This window comes from Homo sapiens, chromosome 17 (assembly GCF_000001405.40).
Source record: "Homo sapiens chromosome 17, GRCh38.p14 Primary Assembly".
NCBI classification, from domain to species: Eukaryota; Metazoa; Chordata; class Mammalia; order Primates; family Hominidae; genus Homo; species Homo sapiens.
In genome coordinates, this window is record NC_000017.11 from 77,636,531 (window position 1) to 77,649,337 (window position 12,807).

The window sequence follows — 12,807 nt, forward strand, 5'->3', positions numbered from 1 at the left end:
CCCAGAAATGTGGGGTTCATACCCCAGGCCTTGCGTGACTTTCCTGGGGCTGCCGTGATGAGTTACCACAAACTCAGCAGCTTAAAACAATGGAAATTGATTATCTCAAAGTTCTGGAGGCCACAGGTCCGAGATCAAGGTGTCAGTAAGGCTGTGCCCTCCACAGGCTCTAGGGGAGACCCCTCCTTGCCCCTTCCAGTTTCTGGCTTGAAGCTGCTTCACTGCAGCCTCTGTCCTCACACAGCCTTCATCTCTGTGTGTCCAGATCTCCCTCTCCTTATAAGGACACTGGTCTTTGGATTTAAGGCCCACCCAAATCTAGTGGGACCCCATCTGAACTAACCACATCCGCAAAGACCCTATTTTGAAATAAGGTCACCTTCTGAGGTTTCGGGTGAGCATTTTGGGGGACACCGTTCAACCTGGTACAAGTCCTGTCCAGAACTGGAGGAGTTTCTCAGAAATGAGATCTAAATGGACACCTGCAGGGGCCGGGAGGAGAGGGTTCTAGGCAGGGGATCAGCCTATGCACAGGCCCAGAGGCTAAAGATTGTGAAGCTGTTTCAGTACAGTGAGAACATTCTAGAAATAAGGATGGTGGGGGTCACAGGCAGGCATAGTGCCAAGGTCAGCAGGGCCGCATCAGGAAGGGGCCTCTGAGCCAGGTTCTGGAATCTGGCCTTTCTCCTGAGCCATGGAAAGGCCCTAACCCAGGCTCCAGGGGATTGGCCTCCTCCCTCTCTCCAGGGCATGGGGTCTCCCTGGATGTCTGTCCCCGCCTGGGGATGCTGAATCTCCCCTCCCCCTCATCTCTTCCCCTTCCCCTCCCCCAGCACCTGGGCTGCCTGCAGTGACAGGTTCCAGTAACCCATGCTCCTATCAGATCGCCAGACAGAACTGGGGCCAAGAGCACGAAGAGGATGGGGAGTGGGCGGGAGCGCTGTTGCTGGGAAATGTCTGGGACACTTGCCCTGCCTCACAGAGAGTGTCCGGCCACCTCTGATGCGGGACAGGAGCGCTCAGGGGAGGAAGGCGAGGACCTTAGGGCCTGTGCACCCTCCTCTCCAGGTAGGAAGACGGGAGGAGGGGGCCTTGGGGCAGCTCAGGACTGAGACTTTCTCCCTCCAGGTGGGGCGGAGCTGCCTGCACCTGCCTCTCTGAGCTCCTCTTGCATTGCTGGGGACTGAGGCGATTTCCAGGGCGTGGCACGAAAGCCTCTCTTCCTTTTGGATGACTTAAGAATCTGAGTTTCTTCCTGACAGTTGATCCCAGCCTGGAGGGTGTTCCTATCTTGTGTGGCGGTTTCAGATCTAGACCCCAGCCATGTCAGACTGGAAGGCAGCTCCTCCTCTGGGGCTCCCGAAAGAGACATTCCTGGGTAATCATCGTCAGCAACCCACCCCCACGGCACCACACGGCAGACCCCAGAGCCCTGGCTGCGCCTCTCTGCTCAGCCAGCAGGTTGCCATGGCAACGAGCCAGTATAAGCATCTCCATCAATAAGCCGGAGGCTTCCCAAGACTCCTCGGGAGCCTGGCCCCCGACACAGCCTTGGGGTGGGAAAGAAACCACAAGGTTCCATACAGAGGTGATTAAATAGCAAGGAGAGGAACTGGGCATGAGAAAGGGCTCAGAGATGATTGCATCAAATGTCTGTGTCTTTTGCAAGTCCAATCCTGACACTGCAGTGAGAATTATTTGCTTGATGGGAAATGGCAGAGGGGATGTTCTGGATCCCAGACTATGGTGCTCACCAGACTTTGATTTGGGGCTACGGGGATGCAGGCTGCTAGTCTGTCTTTTAGCTGGTACACGTGTGTCCCCTGTGGCTACACCAGGCCTAATGAACTCACAGGGGTGCCCCAGGCTGAGCTAAATGTGTCTGCAGGCAGGAGTGCATTCACGTCTGCACACAACTGAATGTGCAGACCTAGGAGAGACGGAAAGAAGTGGGGGCCAGGCGCAGTGGCTCATGCCTGTAATCCCAGCACTTTGGGAAGCTGAGGCAGGTGGATCACTTGCGGTCAGGAGTGTGAGACCAGCTTGGCCAACATGGCGAAATCTCGTCTCTGCTGAAAATACAAAAATTAACAGGGCATGGTGGCAGGAGCCTGTAATCCCAGCTACTCCGGAGGCTGAGGCAGGAGAATCGCTTGAACCCAGGAGGTGGAGGTTGCAGTGAGCCAAGATTGCATCACTGCACTCCAGTCTGGGCGACAGAGCGGGATTCTGTCTCAAAAAAAAAAGGGGGGGGGGTGGGGTGGGGGGGAAGCGGGGACTTCCTCAGTGACCTGCTCTGTGATTTGTGAAGAACTTCACTCCAGCCTGAATCCTGTGCTTGGCACTAGAGAACCAAACAGCCTCTGCCAACTTGGGTTTGTAAAGGGATAGAGAATGTTACAGGATAATAAGGTCTTTCCCTTTGGCTCTCCGCTTTCTCCAGGCATAATCTTGTCTACATGGAAGATCATCCCTGAGCAATGAGCTGCCTGCTGAGGGGGTGTGGTGAGTTGCACAGAGTTGAGGCACCAAGGTCGGGGGCAGAGCCGGACCAGCCACCCCAGCCCTCTTCAAAACACAGCAGGTCTGGGCTTCTCGCATAGATCGGCTGCCTTGTTAGAATAACCTGAATATAAACCAAGGTCTTGTGGGGCCCAGTCTCCAGACACTCAAAGAGGCTGGATCTGGCAGCCCCAAGAGGATTAAAGGGGATTCATGTCCCAGCATCCTTCCTCTCCTCCCTGGCTCTCTTAGATGTTGTAGCATCTAACTCACCAATGGCAAGGATCAGGCTGTGAGTCCACTTGGCCAGTCTGTAGCACCCAGTTATTTGATCAGACATGAAGCCAGGTGTTACTGTGAAGGTATGTTGTAGAGGTGGTTGACATCTACCATAAGCTGACTTTAAGTAAAAAAGATGACCCTCGAAAATGTGAATGAGCCTTGTCCCATCAGTGGAAGACCTTAAGGGCAAAAACTGAGGTTTCCCTGAGAAGAATAAATTCTGCCTCAAGCTTGCAGCATCTCCTCCTGCCTGGGGTCCAGCCTGCTGGCCTGTCTTACAGATGCCAGACTTACCAGTCCCCCTAATCAGGCAAGCCCGTTCCTTAAAAAGAGACCTCCCTCTGGAGACCCCTGACACCAAGCTTTCTGACCTTGTCCAGGCAGCAATTAGTCAATTTCTCTCTCCTCCCTCCCTCCTTCTCTCGCTCTCTCTTTCTTTCTGTCTCTCCAGCTGCTGCTGCTGCTGCTGCTGCTGCTGCTGCTTCTTCTTCTTCTTCTTCTTCTTCTTCTTCTTCTTCTTCTTCTTCTTCTTCTTCTTCTTCTTCTTCTTCCTCCTTCCTTCCTCCTTCCTCCTCCTCCTCCCTCCTCCTCTTCCCTCCTCCTCCCTCCTCCTCTTCCCTCCTCCTCCTTCTTCCTCTTCCTCTTCCTCCTCTTCCTCTTCTTCTTCTCCTGCTTTCTTCTTTCTTCTTCTTCCGTTTCCTCTGTTGCCCAGGCTGGAGTGCAGTGATACGATCTCAGCTCACTGCAACCTCTGCCTCCCAGGTTCAAGCAATTCTCCTGCCTCTGCCTCCCGAGTAGCTGGGATTACAGGTGCCCACCACCATACCTGGCTAATTTTTGTATTTTTAGGAGAGACGGGGTTTCACCACGTTGGCCAGGCTGGTCTTGAACTCCTGACCTCAAGTGATCCTCCTGCCTCGGCCTCTCTAAGTGCTGGGATTACAGGCATAAGTCACTTCACCTGGCCTCTCCAGCTCCTTTTTCACTTTCCCTTTTTACATCACCAATGACCTGGATTCTCCACAACAGAAGCCCAGGAACTGACTCCCCACATAAGATCTATTTCCTTTATTTCCTTTGGTCCAGTGCCTCTCTCCTCCTCTTTCCAGTTCCACTCCCCAGGAGGCCAGGAGCTAGGTGGGAGGGAACCTCTCCCAGGAGGCAGGGCATAGAGGCAGGAAGGTGGAGCTGGGGAGAGGCAGAGACAAAGCTCTTTCCCTTTGAAATGGGCTGGGGTGGACCTGGGTGGGGCCGGAGGAAGATGGGACACACAGGTGAGATAATAGATCTTTCCTTCCTCGCGTAAGATTTTATTTGAAGATTAGATTCTACAGCCAAAGAGAAGTTGAAAGCCGCTGGTCTAGACCAGCCCGTAGTCTAAGCTGGTGACTGAAGCCGAGGGTGTCAAAGTGGCTTAAGGTAGCCCTTGCAGCTTAAATGCAGGATGGGGGTTGGCACTGGGTCTTCTGACCCCGAAGTCTGCACTCTGTGCACCATGAGATGTGTCCTCTGCAGCAAAGAAGCTGAATGAAGGTGTCATATACGGAGTGCAAAGAGGACCCTGGGAGCAAATTCCATGTGCGTGTGTGGGCGGTGGTGGGGGTGGGAAGAGTTCCATGGGGAGGGTCATATCCTTCTGAGGGAGACTGAAGAGACCTTGTGGGAGAGATCTCATTGGAGGTGAACCTTGTACTGTGACCGGGCTGCAAGTACTAGAAGTCAAGGGAGGGAAGGCATTCCTCCAGGAGAGGGTAAGAGCAGGAGCCAGGGCCGGGGGAGCGCTGGGGAGCACTTAGACTACAGCCAGAGGTCTCTATTGTGCTCAGCATGCCTGGAGCTCTGAGTCTACATGGGTGCAGGTGGAGAAAAGACCAGAAAGGTTGCTGAGGCCATGTCTGCATGGCTTTGCATGGCAGGTGGTTGAGTGTGTGCTGAGTTTGTTTGGCAGTGAGGAAGTTTAGGGCTTTGAGCAAGACAGTGGCATCCTGGATTGTGGGACACAGTGGGCAGAGCCTAGAGCTGGGAGGCCAATGAGGGCCAGGATGCCAGGAGGATGAGCAGGGCAGAAGGGGAGATGTAGCTTTGCCTGGAGGCTGGGCGATCTGTTCAGGCTTGAACCTAAGGGTGGAAATGCAGCCGGGGAGTGACCCCTGAAGGGGTGAAAGCTGCCTCAGCAAGTGATCAGCAAAATCCATCGATACTTGAAATGGACCAAAGGGTCTTCTGTTTAGAAGAAGCTGCTTGCGGTGCAGCACCGTGGCTCACACCTGCAATGCCAGTGCTTTAGGAGGCTGAGGTGGGAGGATCACTTGAGGCCAGGAGTTGGAGATCAGCCTGGGCAACAGAGCAAGACCCCATCTCTACAAAATTAAAAATTAAAAATTAGCCAAATGTGGTGTCTCACACCTGTAATCCCAGGTTAAGGCAGGAGGATTCCCTGAGCCCAGGACTTCATGGCTGCAATGAGCTGTGATTATGCCACTGTACTCCAGCCTGGGTGACAGAGCAAGACCCTATCAAGGAAGACGAAGATGAAGACAAAGACGAAGACAAAGAAGAAGGAGGAGGAAGAGGAGGAGAGGAAGAGGAGGAGGACAAGGAACAGGAGGAGGAGGAGGAGGAAGGGAAGGAGGAGGAGGAGGAAGAGGAGTGGCAGCAGCAGCTGGTTGTAAAGTGAAGAATCATTTTACGATAGGATTAACCATGACCAACCCATGTCCGTATAAGTTTGGATTTCCATGGGTAGAATTTTTTAAAAATCACAGCCTGTCTGTGGCTGTCCATGCTGTCTGTCACTGGCCTGAATCTGAGTGGTAGAGAGAGCAACTCCTTCCTCCACACCGGCCCTGCCCCAACAAGTCAGGTAGGCCCCCTCCCTCCCTGCTGATTGGATGGTGAGTGCCCCAAGCACGGTGCTGCATCCTTTTGCAGAGGAATGGGCCAAGCAGAGCCTGGCATAGCTGGGGTGGGGGCAGGGCCTCCCTGCAGCATCTTTCCATGACATTGTCACAGAGGGAACAGGCAAGTTCCATTGGCATTGTATTAGCTTCCTAGGGCTGCTGTAACAAATTCCTACAAACTGGGTGGCGTAGAACAACAGCAGTGTCCCTTCTCACAGTGCTGAGGTTGGGAGTCTGAAATCAAGAGGTCATCAGGGTCGTGCTCCTGGCAGAGGCCCTAGGGGATTCTGTTCTCTGCCTCTTCCAGCTTCTGGTGGTCATCTTGATTCCCGCACTGTGGTGGCACCATTCCAACCTCTGCCTCTGTCTTTATGCGCCCTTCTCTTCTTCTCTCTGTTCTTCTCTTCTTGAGTTTCTTTTTTATTTTTATTTTTATTTTTTCTTGGGACGGAATTTCACTCTTATTGCCCAGGCTGGAGTGCAGTGGCGCGATCTCGGCTCACTGCAACCTCTGCCTCCTGGGTTTGAGCGATTCTCCTGCCTCAGTCTCCCAAGTAGCTGAGATTACAGGTGCCCACCACTACACCCAGCTGATTTTGTATTTTTAGTAGAGACAGGGTTTTACCATGTTGGTCAGGCTGGTCTCGAGCTCCTGACCTCAGGTGATCCACCAGCTTCGGCCTCCCAAAGTGCTGAGATTACAGGTGTGAGCCACCTTGCCCACCCCTCTTGAGTTTCTTATAAGGACATTTGTCATTGAGATAATCTAGGAGGATCTCATCTGAGATACTTCACTACATCCTCAAAGACCCTTTTCCCAAATACAGTCACATTCACAGGTTCTGGGGATTAGGATATGAACATACGGGTTTGGGGGCACCATTCTACCCGCTACAGGCCTGCAGAGGAGTGAGCTCCACGGGGGTGCCCCAGCCTCTGAGGTGCTGCGGCTGGTCTATGTTCCGGTTCTGTCTCTACCTGCCCTCTCCTTCACGCCCTCCTTGGGTGTTGGGTACCCTCTTCTCTTCCCTGGGTACCCACTGTTCCCTCTGTGGGACCCCACCTGTGTTTGTTCCCTCTACGCAATACCCCATCTCCTCACCTCCTTTCCTCCTGGGAAATGAGCGTATTTTGCATCCTGTCTGTAACCTGGCCTGACAAACCCTCCTGTCCTCATATCATAAAGATCCAACATACTCTGTGTGGTCCAAACAGCGGACTGGATCCTGGACATTACCAGGTGCGGGTTTGCAGCCCAGCTCAGAGCTACATTAGCATGGCGGCCAAGGTCAAATCCTCTGACTTCCCATGTCTTCCATTCCCCATATGTATCATGGAGATAACAAGGCCCTGTGCTCTTTTGACTAAAAAAAAAAAAATAGTTTCTGGAATGCATTTCCTTCCACCTCCATCTCGGCAATCTCTCTCTCTAATAATAGACTTAATTATTTAAATTTAATTTGTTAGAGGTTTGATGTTTAATTTGAGAAACCTAATGAATGATTAACATTTAATAAATAGTAAAATTTAATATCTATGAACTTGGGTATAAATATATAAATGATTTAATATCTTAATTCAATGCCTACTTTTTAAAAACAGATAGGAATTGCTCCTCAGAGTTATCATGCCCTGAGTAAGCGCTTGGCAAAACCGCCACCCCATTCTCTGTGAGTGAAAAACAGCACAGAGCGGGTCCTGAGTCCTTGGATGTACAAGGAAAGGAGAATTGATCAAGAGGAGGTTGGGTGGCCACCTTGTCCAGTGCCCAGATCCAGGAGCAGCTGTGGCCATGGAGGAGGCTGAGTTACAGTTTAGCTACAAAGTATCTCCAGTGAACACCTTCCCCAGTGGTGACTGCTGCAAAGGGGGTGGCCTCCCCCCAGGGAAGGGGAGGGAGGAGGCAGTCTGAAGAATGAGGCTTCTTACAGGGACATCAAACTGCACATAAATAGACGTGCCGTGCTTTTTATTTGAATATTAATTGGCATTGATGAACAGCATGTGTCTAGTTACATTGGCAATTAGTTACCAATGAGGTTCTGGGACGCCACACTGCTCCTGTAATTCTGATATGGAGGTTCCTGGAAAGCGCCGTGGAGCTCTCCCTGAAGCCGCTGTCCTTGCGAGGAAGGGTGGCTGCCTGCATCTACACAGAGGCCATGTATTTGCCTTTTCATGGATGTGCTAAGCAACAGCTCACAGGACGGATTCTAACTGCATCCTCCCTTTAGGAGGGAACCACCTGCGGTGAATGAGTCCTGTGAACCTGCAAGTCTCAACCATTCCTGGGTTCAGGGATTTAAGGAGAACAGAGGAGAGGGTCCCCCCATTTCCTTGCCCTTTTGGGAAGCTGGGGACCTTCCTCTGGTCAGTCTGTCTTCAGAGGGAAGAGTGAGGGAGGCAGCCTGGACAAGGGGCCTGGGATCCTGGGCAGGGCAGGGTCCAAGGACACAGGCCATCTGGCCAGGAGACACCCCACAGCGCTGGGTCGGCTGCCCAGGATCTTCTGTTACCTCTGGCCAACGTCCAGGCAGGCCCAGCATGTCACTGTGTGTAAGTCAGCCTCCCCCTCCAGACTGGAAGCCCCTTAAGAACATCTGCCTGGCCCTGCCCATCTGTGTGTGCCAAGCCTCTAGCACTATGCCCGGCACATGGCAGGTGCTCCAGGAGACAGGGATTGGAGAGAGACTCAGAGCCCAGGAGCTGCCAACCGCTGAAGGGAGTAGGAATCCGCTAGTCATTGAACCTGTGCTAGGGAGGCATAAAAGATGGGGGTGGGGGCATTTTCTAGCGGAGCTTCCCCGGGTGAGTCAGTGCCCATAGCCCCCTGACCAGTATCCCCTTCCAGCTTCAGCCCCCACCCAAGACCCACCTTCTCCTTCCTCCCCCATTCTGGGACCCCCATCCCAGCTGGGCCGGGGCAAGAAGAAGGCACCCTGGCCTCCCGGGCTCTGCTGCAGGGGGCCTCAGTGAGCAGCAGATGAAAAGCTGCCTCCGCTGGGGGCTAATCCTCTCACCTCCACGCTCCCGGTGGCTGCCTCGCCCTGCGGCTCAGGCTGAAGGATCTCGGGGAGTTTTAAATGGAGGAGAAGGAGCATTTCTGATCTCATTTTCCAGTATTTCAGCTGTGCCATAATCTATTTACCACACAATTTGTGTCACTTTGATAAGCGGCTGCTTCAAGACTGCATTTATTAAAATCAAGAGCGGGGACAGCTTTCAAGTCTCTCAAGAATTGTAATAAATGTTTGAAATTAGTCATTACGGTGTTTGCCATGGTTCATATCATATACTCCATCTCGGTGACAAACGGTCACATCTTGCACACGTTCTTTTTGGGTGATGATGGTGAAGGCTTCACTTTGACGTCCCTGCATGGGACTCGGGAGGGGACGCCGCGGGGCGAGAGCCCTTCCGGGGGCAGCCGGGGTCCCCCGGGGCCACAGCTCAGCCCCGTGAAATGCTCTTTTAGCCTAAGCTTCTGTACTTAAAGAGGAGTGAAATGGCCCAGAAAGACTTTTCTTCCCTTCCCTCCTCCCCCATCTAAACCACCAGGCTCTTATTTCATCCTGGGTGACGAGGCTTCTCCTCCACCACCACCCCCCCTGCCCAGCAGTGGCATCTAAGGACGCTGCAACTTTGCGGCTGGTTTACTGTTTCCTTTGGGGGGTTTTGTAGTTGCAGGAAGTAACCCTGGCCAAAACAATGTCACATTCCTAAAGGCTCCAGTACAGCAGGGCTCCGAGCCCTGGGAAGGGGAAAGGAGGGTCCCAGAGGCCATCAGAGGCTTATTCAAAGACTGTACAGGAACCAGGCACAGAGATGGGATCCCAGAGCCATGCTCCTCCTCTATGGTGACTTGTGGCTCCCAATCCTAAAGAGACACTCGGGAGATGACAATCAGGGCGTGAAAACCATCAGCATTGGAGGCAAGCTAGGAATGAGGCCCAGGGTACCCGAGGCCGGGTTCCGAGTGGGCACGGTGGGGAGGGCCAGGGGACCTACATTTCCTAATAATTGGGGGATTTTCTGTCTGTGGGGTCCTCAGAGCTGGTGGCCGTCTCCCTAGGTGCCCCTGGAGCTTGGTAGGCACTGTCTGCCGTGGGAAACTCTGGGTGGACACAGCGGGAGACAGACACCGAGGGGCTGGGGGTGGGGGTGATGCCACTCCGGGTGACAGCTTCTCTTCTATGGAGAAATACATCTGAATTTTGCTTGTGTTCAGGCTGGTGAAAGGAAGTCCTTTCTGTTTCACAAACATATTGAAAACAGGCCTTCATCTCCTTTGAGAAAAGAGGTTTAGTAGGGCAGCCACCTAAAGCTCGCATGTTTAACTAACCTTGTTGGGAGGACGTGTGGGAGTGACAGAGACAGACAGACACTACACTGCATTCACAGTCCTCTGTTTCACAGTTAACATTCTTACCCAAAGATGTGAATGGTGAAAAAGACATTTTTAACCATAGCTTTATATAAAAAAAGAAAGCTTGGCCGGGCACGGTGGCTCACATCTATAATCCCAGCACTTTGGGAGGCCAAGGTGGGCAGATCACCTGAGGTCAGGAGTTCGAGACCAGCCTGGCCAATATGGTGAAACCCTGTCTCTACTAAAAATACAAAAATTAGCTGGGCATGGTGACAAGCGCCTGTAATCCCAGCTACTGGGGAGGCTGAGGCAGGAGAATCGCTTGAACCCAGGAGGTGGAGGTTGCAATGAGCTGAGATCATGCCACTGCAGTCCACCCTGGGTGACAGAGCAAGACTCTGTCTCAAAAAATAAAAAGAAAGCTTTTGCGGGGCAGGGGTCTGACCTTAAGGGAAATCTGTCCTCATTCTGGAAAATACAGAAAAGAATAAAAACATATTTGAGATAGAGTCTTGCTCTATTGTCCCGGCTGGAGTGCAATGGCGCCATCTCTACTCACTGCAACCTCCGCCTCCCGGGTTCAAGCAATTCTCCTGTCTCAGCCTCCTGAGTAGCTGGGATTACAGGCATGTGCCACCACGTCCGGCTAATTTTAAACAAATATGTGTTTTAAAAAGAGGCACAATTGTGCAAGCTGGAGATGGCTGTGTGGATTTCCGTGTATTTAGTGTACTTTTGTGCAAGCTGGAGATGGCTGTGCGGATTTCTGTGTGTGTTAGTGCACTTTTGTGCAACCTGGAGATGGCCGTGCGGATTTCCGTGTGTTTAGTGTACTTTCGTGCAAGCTGGAGATGGCCGTGCGGATTTCCGTGTGTTTAGTGTACTTTCGTGCAAGCTGGAGATGGCCGTGCGGATTTCCGTGTGTTTAGTGTACTTTCGTGCAAGCTGGAGATGGCCGTGCGGATTTCTGTGTGTTTAGTGTACTTTCGTGCAAGCTGGAGATGGCTGTGCGGATTTCCATGTGTGTTAGTGCACTTTCTGCTTTGCAAGCAGTTGCACATCCTTGGTTTTCACTCTCCTGCACGAGCTCCTGCCCCCACCACCCTCATGGCCGCTACACTTTCAGGGTGATCCCTGCACCTTAGGACCCAGAGCCCAGCCGTGGCAGGTGCTCCTGGAGGTTGCCAAGGCAGAATCCCCGCTGGAAAACCATGGCTGCCCCTTGGAGGCCTAGGTGCACGTTCAAAAGCACACTGGCGTCTCATGGCGTGCTCTTTGCAGGGCCTGGAAGGGTCAGCATCCACTTTAAGGCCAAGATCTACCTTGAGAAGCAATGTCTAAAGGCCCATGGTCAGGCCTAAAATCGATGAGATTAAGAATCTCCTGCAGGACTGCGTTGGCCTTACCTGTATGCAGGGCCTCCTTCTGCAGCCAACCCTGGAAACTCTGAGGTTGCTGGTTTAGCAGGGTAATGCCTACACCCTCATTAGCATCTGATATTATTCTGGTACATTTGTCACAATTAATTAATCCATATTGGCACATTATTATTCACTCAAGCCTATAATTTATTCAGACTTCCCTAGTTTTTACCTACTGTCCTTTTCCTGTCCCAGGAGCCCATCCAGGACCCCGCATGACACTCAGGCTTCATCTCCTTAGACTCCTCTTGGCTGTGACAGTTTCTCAGTCTTTCCTTATTTTTGGTGACCTCAACAGTCGTGTGGATTCCTGGTCAGGCATTTTGTAGAATGTTCCTCTATTGGGGGTTGTCGGATGTTTTTCTTATGATTAGATGGAGGTTATGGGTCTTGGGGAGGAAGAGCACACAGGTAAAGTGGCGTTGTGAACTTGTCATATCAAGGGTATGCACTATCAACAGAACTTGTTGCCAGTGATGGTGACCTTGATTGCCTGGCTGAGATCGTGTCTGTCAGGGTTCTTCTCTGTGGAGTTACCTTTTTACCCCTTTCCATACTGTACTCTGTACAAGGAAGTCACTGTGCAGGGCCCACACTTAAACAGAGGAGAGTTATGTTCCACCTTCTTTGTTTGTTTGTTTTTTTTTTTGAGACAGAGTCTCGCTCTATCACCCAGGCTGGAGTGCAGTGACATGATCTCTGCTCACTGCAGCCTCTGCCTCCCAGGTTCAAGAGATTTGCATGCCTCAGCCTCCCAAGTAGCTGGGGCTACAGATGCCTGCCCCTGTGCCCAGCTAATTTTTGTATTTTTAGTAGAAACGGGGTTTTGCCATGTTGATGTTCCACCTTCTTGAGAGTGGGATATGTACATACATTCTCTGCAAGCTAGATTTACGTATTCTTCCCCGTTTATTGTCCTATTTAATCATTTATTTATATCCATATAGACTCATGGCTATTTATTTCATACTTTGGGTGATGACCCAATGCAATGTTATTTACTTTGTTGCTCAAGTTGTCCCAGCCTTGGCCATCGGGAGCTCTTTCAGTTGGTTCCTGTGTCCCTTTGACATATCCCATTAATGTGGTTGTTTTTTGTTTTGTTTTGTTTTGTTTTGTTTTTTTGTGTTTCCTTACTTTCTGATACTACATCATGCTCCAGACTCATTTTGTATCTTTCCAGGCCCAATCCAAGAATTAGTCATTTCTCCAAGGGGCCCTGGTTCTTTTTACTAGAGAAGGTAGCAACCATAGGCTGGTACAGAGTGTGCTCATAACTCCTGGGATGTCATTTTTTTTAGGCCCTCTCAGCAGACAGGAAAGAAGATATACA

General features: G+C 51.7%; 4 annotated features.

Moving 5' to 3' along the window:
* Positions 693-862: an enhancer, noted in NCBI's record as "experimental_47418 CRE fragment used in MPRA reporter constructs". NCBI's record gives its function as "activates a minimal promoter by MPRAs in K562 erythroleukemia cells, with activity observed for both the introgressed and non-introgressed 17:75633390 variant alleles {active_cell/tissue: K562}" and the evidence as "EXISTENCE:reporter gene assay evidence [ECO:0000049][PMID:34662402]".
* Positions 8,093-8,262: an enhancer, noted in NCBI's record as "experimental_47431 CRE fragment used in MPRA reporter constructs". NCBI's record gives its function as "activates a minimal promoter by MPRAs in K562 erythroleukemia cells, with activity observed for both the introgressed and non-introgressed 17:75640790 variant alleles {active_cell/tissue: K562}" and the evidence as "EXISTENCE:reporter gene assay evidence [ECO:0000049][PMID:34662402]".
* Positions 9,048-9,611: an enhancer, noted in NCBI's record as "H3K4me1 hESC enhancer chr17:75641660-75642223 (GRCh37/hg19 assembly coordinates)". NCBI's record gives its function as "activates a minimal SCP1, AML or CMV promoter by ChIP-STARR-seq in naive H9 embryonic stem cells {active_cell/tissue: H9 hESC(naive)}" and the evidence as "EXISTENCE:reporter gene assay evidence [ECO:0000049][PMID:30033119]".
* Positions 10,987-11,561: an enhancer, noted in NCBI's record as "H3K27ac-H3K4me1 hESC enhancer chr17:75643599-75644173 (GRCh37/hg19 assembly coordinates)". NCBI's record gives its function as "activates a minimal SCP1, AML or CMV promoter by ChIP-STARR-seq in naive and primed H9 embryonic stem cells {active_cell/tissue: H9 hESC(naive and primed)}" and the evidence as "EXISTENCE:reporter gene assay evidence [ECO:0000049][PMID:30033119]".